Source organism: Homo sapiens, chromosome Y (assembly GCF_000001405.40).
Source record: "Homo sapiens chromosome Y, GRCh38.p14 Primary Assembly".
Lineage (NCBI taxonomy): Eukaryota > Metazoa > Chordata > Mammalia > Primates > Hominidae > Homo > Homo sapiens.
Genome location: NC_000024.10, coordinates 8,545,987 through 8,552,664, shown reverse-complemented (window position 1 = coordinate 8,552,664; position 6,678 = coordinate 8,545,987). Strand labels below are relative to the sequence as shown.

The window sequence follows — 6,678 nt, the reverse complement described above, 5'->3', positions numbered from 1 at the left end:
ATTTGGTGTGGACATTGTTAAGCCAGATCCAGGAAAGCCTAGGTCAATGAATAACATAGTAGTCAGAAAAAGAAGAGGCAAATATGGAGGCCAAATCCCACCAGGCATCAATCCATTGCACACCCATTTGGCTCTGGGTATGAAAGTTTCAAATTGAAAATTTGCTTGGATAACCCCAATTTGCACCCAAATGTTTCTTGCACATTGGAGTACTCCCACTGGAACACGAGAACAGGGTGTGGACTGCTTGTGCAATTAAGGGAATGCAGGGATGGAGTTGGAAGCACATTCTGTCTCATCTGTCTTAATTTGTTTTGCAGGAGAAGTTGTGGGATTCCATCCACCCCTTACCAGATTTTATACTCACCCCTATTTGACCTTACTGCTAATCACACTCTATGTCCCAAGATGAAATCCCAAGATGATGGTGCAGTGCTACCTCATGATATTAAGCATCTGCCAGGCTAGGAACCAAATTTGAGGTCAATTTAAGGGTCCTGTGGAAAGAACTTCTAGTGTCTCTCCTTGGGTTGGTGACAGGACAATGAAAAATTAAGAGATATCTGTTTTTTGGTGTGGTGTGCTTCTTTTCAGAAGAGTGACTTTATTTTTTTTTGCAGGAGGAGGTGAACTGGATGCTGACAGGTCTCGGCACACCTCACAATTCCCTGCTGATTCATGATCCACAATAAAATAAAGAAAAAAGAATGCCACAACCCAAGCAGAGCCACACAGATAGGCCAACAAAAGGTTGGGAAAGTAAAAAAATAAATAAAAATAAAAATAAATAAATAAATAAATAAAACAGTTAGGTGTGTTAGCAACATTCTTTTATGCTGACTCAAATTACAGGCACACACTCACACACACAAAAAAAGACCACAATGAAACACACACACGCATGCATTCAACGCTCCCAACACTATCACAGAAACACATAGCCTGGAAACTCCTGAGGCTGCGTGGTTCTGCAGGATGCCACACCTAGGAGAGATCAAGCCCAGGGAACACAGGAAGTCTGTATCTAGAAATCACAGTGGGCAAGTTTCAAAAAGCCTCATCCCTACAAATTCTAGTCAGGCCTGAGGAATCCTGCAGATCCTTTTGGATCCTTAGCAATTTTGCAGTTTATTCCTGGGGCTCTCCTTCACATTTCTTCAGGATGACTCACATCTGCCCTCTCTTAGGATCCAGGGACTATCCTGTGTATCCCACAGAGAAGACATGTGAGAGTTCTCCTTCTCTGCCAAGCTGCCAGTATTGGTCCCTAGGCAACGGTGACATTCACTGTGATGCTAGCCAGAGCTCATGATCAGGCCTGGTGCCTCAACCTGAGGGTCTCTCAACCTAAGGACCCCTCTGGCTGTCTCCATGGTTGGGTCAAGCTGGAGGAGGGGGCATTTTGAGACTGTGAGTTGGTGGGTGGAAACTGTTCTTCTGGCTCCATTTCCAAAAGTAGCTATGTGTAACAATTGGGTCCCATGAAAACTGGAATATAACCTGGTGTGTTCAGATCCCTCTGGTAAAGAATGGGTTTTGAGACATGTAGTGGTCACTGGAATCTGCTCTTCTGACTCCATTTCCAAAAGAGGCTATGTGCAAGTATCAGGTCCCATGGGGATTGGAATATAGTTTGGTGTGTTTTTAAGGTTTCTGCATTTGATAGAATCAAACCTGAAAACCCAGAGGTGGGGGTCAGTGAAAGATAGCCAGGCTCTTGACCTCACTGACTCCCTTCATCCAGGGCCTTGCAGGGGCTTTCTGGGAAAGGGAGCAACCATAGCAAAGGCAAGTCGAAGGTGAAGTGTCATCTCATAGGCCATCTGTGATGACGGCAAGACTGAAAAAGCTTTTCAGTGGTGCTGTTGAGGGACAATGTGAATTCCTCATGAAAACAAAGAAAAATGAAGGCTCACATGAGAGAACAAGCTGCTTGTGCTGGTTTCCAAGCAATGCGCAATGATTCCTGACAGATAACCCAAAAGCCTCCGCAAAGTGAAAACAACCTCAGCCCCCACAGAAAGACAACAAACCATAACCTGGAGCACATCCAGCCTACCTGAAGTCCCTTTTGCTCTCTGAAATCCCTGGCTGCTAAATAATCTGTGGTGAGAGGCAGTCTCATCCAGAAACAGCCCAATTAAAGAACCCCTCTGCAAAGAAAAGGCCACGGAGATGAAATGAAACAGAGGCTATATTACCAGGCAAAAGCCAGACACAGCTGCCTGCTTCTCATCCTACAGGAATCATGCAGCCTGCTGATAGAAGTGTGAGAACAGGAGGTTCCTTGTGTGTGGCTGTAACCAGAATTTATGGTTTTAAAAGTATCAAAGCTGCCTAGTTATTAAAATGTAACAGTGTTTAGAATCAAATGCTCACACAATGGATTTTCTTGAGGATCATTCTATGTGAACTGGGAAACTTTCAGTGTGGAAATCATTGAGCCAGACATAGGGAACCCTAGGTTGATGAGGTAAATGGAAATAGGAAAAAAGAGGCAATTGTGGAGGCCACATACCACCAAGCATCAACCCATTCCACACCCATTTCGCTCCAGGTATGAAAGCCCTTAAACTGGGAGGTTCAAGGATAACCCCAATTTACACTCCAAATTTTTCTTGCCCCTTGTAGTACTCCCACCTGAACATGTAGCCTTGGTGTGGACTGCTTGTGCCATTAAGGGAATGAAGGAATGGAGTTTAAAGAACCTTCTGTTTCATATGTCTCCATTTTTTTTTTTGGCAGGTGAAGTTATGAGACCCCATTCACTCCTCAACAGATTGTAGCCTCACAATTATCTGACCTTATTGTTGTTCAAACTCTACATCCTAGGATAAAGTCCAAAGATGATGGAAGAGTGCCCCCTCACGCCATGAAGCTCCTGCTCAGCTGTGAACCAAATTTGAGGTAAATTCAAGGGGCCCTGAAAACAGCACTTCTAGTGTCTCTCCCTGGGTTGGTTGCAGGACAATAAAACACTGGGAGATATCTGTTTTTGGTGTGGTGTGCTCCTCCTCTGCCTAGAAGAGTGACCTTTTTTGCAGGGGGGTTTGATTTCGATGCCAGTGGGTCTCATCCAGCCTCCCAATTTATGTGGATTCACAATCCACAGAAAACTAAATAACACAATGCCCTGCAGCCCAAGAAGAGCCACACAGACAGGCCACCAAAATGTTGGATGACTCAAAAAAAAAAAAAAAGTGCTGAAGGGCATTAGCTACATTGTTTTAAGCAGACTCCACTTACAAGCACACACACGTATACACACACATGCAAATAAACACAGAAAGCCACACACACACACAGACATCCAACACTGGCAACTCTCCCATGGAAACCCATAGCTAGGCAGATCCTAAGCATGTGTGGTTCTGCAGGAAGCCCCCCCCCCGGCAGAGAGCAACCCCAGGGGACACAGGTGGGCTGTACCTAGAAATCATAGTGGGGCAAGTTTCTAAAAGACTCACCCCTACAAGGTCTACACAGACTTACCAAATCCTGCAGATCCTTTTGGGTCCTTAAGGATTTTGTGGCTTATTTCTGGGTCTGTGCTTGATGTTTCTTAAGGCTGGCTAATATCTGACCTCTCCTAGGATCTTGGGACTATACCCTGGATCCCACTGAGAAGATAAGCGAGAGTCCATTACCACTGAAACTTCACAGAGGACTCCTTCTCCATCAAGCCACAAGACTTGGCACTGGGCAACAGTGATATTTATTATGATACCAGAGCTCACAATCAGGCCTGGTGCTGAGACTAGTGTGTGCGCATTCACAGGGCAGGCTCAGGCACCTGACTGTCAGAGCCTTCAGCCTGCCTAAGCAGAGGAAAATGACACAGGCAGAGCTGGCCTGTTATCTGGAAAAAGGCTGCCTGTGAAAATCCATGGCAGGACCATGAAAGTCTCGACCTCAGAGCCCCTTTGGGCCATCTCAGTGGTCAGGTTCTGTGGAGGAGGAAGCATTTTGAGACTGTGAGGTTGTCGCTGGAAACTGCTTCTCTGACTCCATTCTCAAAAGAAAATGTGTGTGTGCAAGAATTGGGTCCCACAGGTAGTGGGATATAGTCTGGTGTGTTGTTGAGTGTTCTTTTGGTAGTATAATCATACCTGAGACCCCAGAGGGAGGTGTCAGTGAAAGATGGCTGGGTTCTTGACCTCACTGCCTCCCTTCATCATAGGCTTTTCAGTGGCTCTGTGGGAAAGGCAGGAACCAAGACAAAAGTAAGTTCAAGGTGGAGCAGTGTTCTTGCATCTCAGACTTGCCTCTCACTGGTAAGATGAGGTTGAGACAGTTTCTCAGAGGACGTCTGTGGTGATATCAAGCCTGAAAAGATTGTCCAGTAGTGCTTTTGTGGGGCACTGTGGATTCTCCATGAAAGCAAAGAAAAATCAAGGCTCATGTGAGAGAATGAGCTGCCTTGTGCTGGAGTCCCAGCAATGTTTAATGATTCATGTCAGAGGACCCAAATCCTAAGGCAAAGTGAAAACAACCTCAGCCCCCAAAACAAGACAATGCACCACAACCTGGAATGCAGCCAGCATACCTGAAATTCCTTTTGCTCATTGAAATCCCTAGCAGCTAAATAATCTGTGGCAAGATGCAGTCCCATCCAGCAACATCCTGAGGAAAGAGCCCCTCCACAATTAGAAGGCCATGCAGATGAAATGAAACAGAGGCTAGATTACCAGAAAAAAAAGCCAGACATGGCTCCCTGTTTCTGATCTGAGAGGAATCATGCAGCCCTCCAACAGAAGTGGGAGAACAAGAGTTTCCTTGTTGGCAACTCTAATGGGAATTTACAATTTTAGACGTAGCAAAGCTGCCCAGTCATTAAAACATGACAATGTTTAGAAGAAAACACTGAGGCAATGGATTTCCATGAGGGTCATTCTCCTGGGACTGGGAAATGTTTAGTGTGGAAATCGTTTAGCCAGACCCCAGAAACCTTAGGCTGATGAGAGACATGGAATTCGGGAAAAGACGAGGTCACATCCCACCCACCATCAATACATTCCACTTCCGTTTGGCTCTGGGTATGAAAGCCCTCAAATAGGGAGTTTGATAGGATAGCCCCAATTTCCAATCCAAATATTCCTTGCATGTTGGAGTACTCCCACCTGAACAATAGACCATGGTGTGGATTTCTTGTGCAATTAAGATAATGTGGGGATGGGTTTGCAAGCACCTTCTGATTCATCTGTCTTCATTTTTTTTTCCCCAGGTGAAGTTGTGGGACCCCATCCACCCCTCACCAAATTGTATCCTCACCCATATCTGACCTTATTGCTGCTCACACTCTATGTCCCAGGATGAAATCCCAAGAAGATGGAGCAGTGACCCCTTATGACATGAAGCAACTGCTCTGCTGCGAATTGAATTCGAGATAAACTCAAGGGGTCCTGCGGACGGGACTGCTAATGTCTCTCCCTGGGTTCGTCGCAGGGCAATAAAACACTAGAAGATGTCATTTTTTGCTTTAATGTACTCCCCTTCTTTCTATAATTGTGGCTTTTTTTGCAGGGGGAGGTGATTTGGATGAAGGTGGATCTCAGTCTGCCTCCCACTTCACTGCAAATTCATGATCCACAGAAATTAAAGAACATGGAGCCCTTCAGCCCAAGCAGAGCCACAAAGACAGGCCACCATAAGGTTGAGAAACTCAAAAAAAAGAAGCCCTGAGGTGTGTTAGTCACATTTCTTTAAGCAGACTCCACTTACAGACACAAACACACACACACACACACAAATACAAAATGCACTACACACACTCAGCTATCCAACACTTGCAACACTCCCACAGAAACACACAGCCCAGCAGCTCCTGTGGCTGCGTGATTCTGCAGGAATCTTCATCTGGGAGAGAGCAGCCCCGGGGAAGAGAGGCAGGCTATACATATAAATCAAAGTGGAGCAAGTTTCAAAAAGACTCACCCCTGCAATGTCTAGGCAAGCCTCACAAATCCTGCTGATATTTTAGGATTCTTAGGGATTTTGCAGTTTATTCCTGGGGCTTTGCTTGATGTTTCTTCAGGCTGACACACATCTGCCCTCTCTTAGGGTCATGGGACAATCCCCTTGATACCATAGAGAAGACAGGTGGAAGTCCATGGCTGATGAAACTCCATGGCAGTCTTCTTTATTGCCAAGCCTCAGGTACTTGTCCCTAGGCTACAGTGACATTGGTTGTAATGTTAGCCAGAGTTTACTTTCAGACCTGGTGCCCTGAGACTAGAGCATGCTCATTTGTGTGCAGGCTTGGGTGCCCAGCTGTCAGAGCTGTCAGACTGCCTAAGCAGAGGAAAATGGTACAGACAAAGCCGGCTTGTTATTGGGAGAAAAGCTGCCTGCACTAACCCACTGAGGGACCCTAAAAGTCTCCACCTTAGGGCCCCTCGGGCTGTCTTTGTGGTCGGGTCCCTCTGGAGGAAGAGACATTTCAAGACAGTGAGGTGATCCCTGGAAACTGCTCTTCTGATTCCATTCCTGAAAGTGGCTGTGTGCCAGAATTGAGTCCCATGTGGATTAGAACATTGTCTCCTGAGTTGTGCAGTGGTCTTTGGGTGATAGAATCATACCTGAGACCCCAGAGGTGGATGTCAATGAAAGATGTCCAGGATGTTATACTCACTGTTTCCCTTCATCCTGGACCTCACAGGGGCTCTCTAGGATATGCAG

General features: G+C 46.0%; 1 long non-coding RNA gene across 1 annotated transcript; it reads left to right on the top strand.

The window, feature by feature from the left end:
* Positions 1–1,396: 1,396 nt before the first annotated feature.
* On the top strand, positions 1,397–3,608 carry LOC105377232 (uncharacterized). The gene is made up of 3 exons (XR_938648.1): positions 1,397–1,410; positions 2,833–2,907; positions 3,594–3,608. It is a non-coding gene; the product is annotated as an uncharacterized LOC105377232 (long non-coding RNA).
* The last annotated feature ends 3,070 nt before the right edge of the window (positions 3,609–6,678 follow it).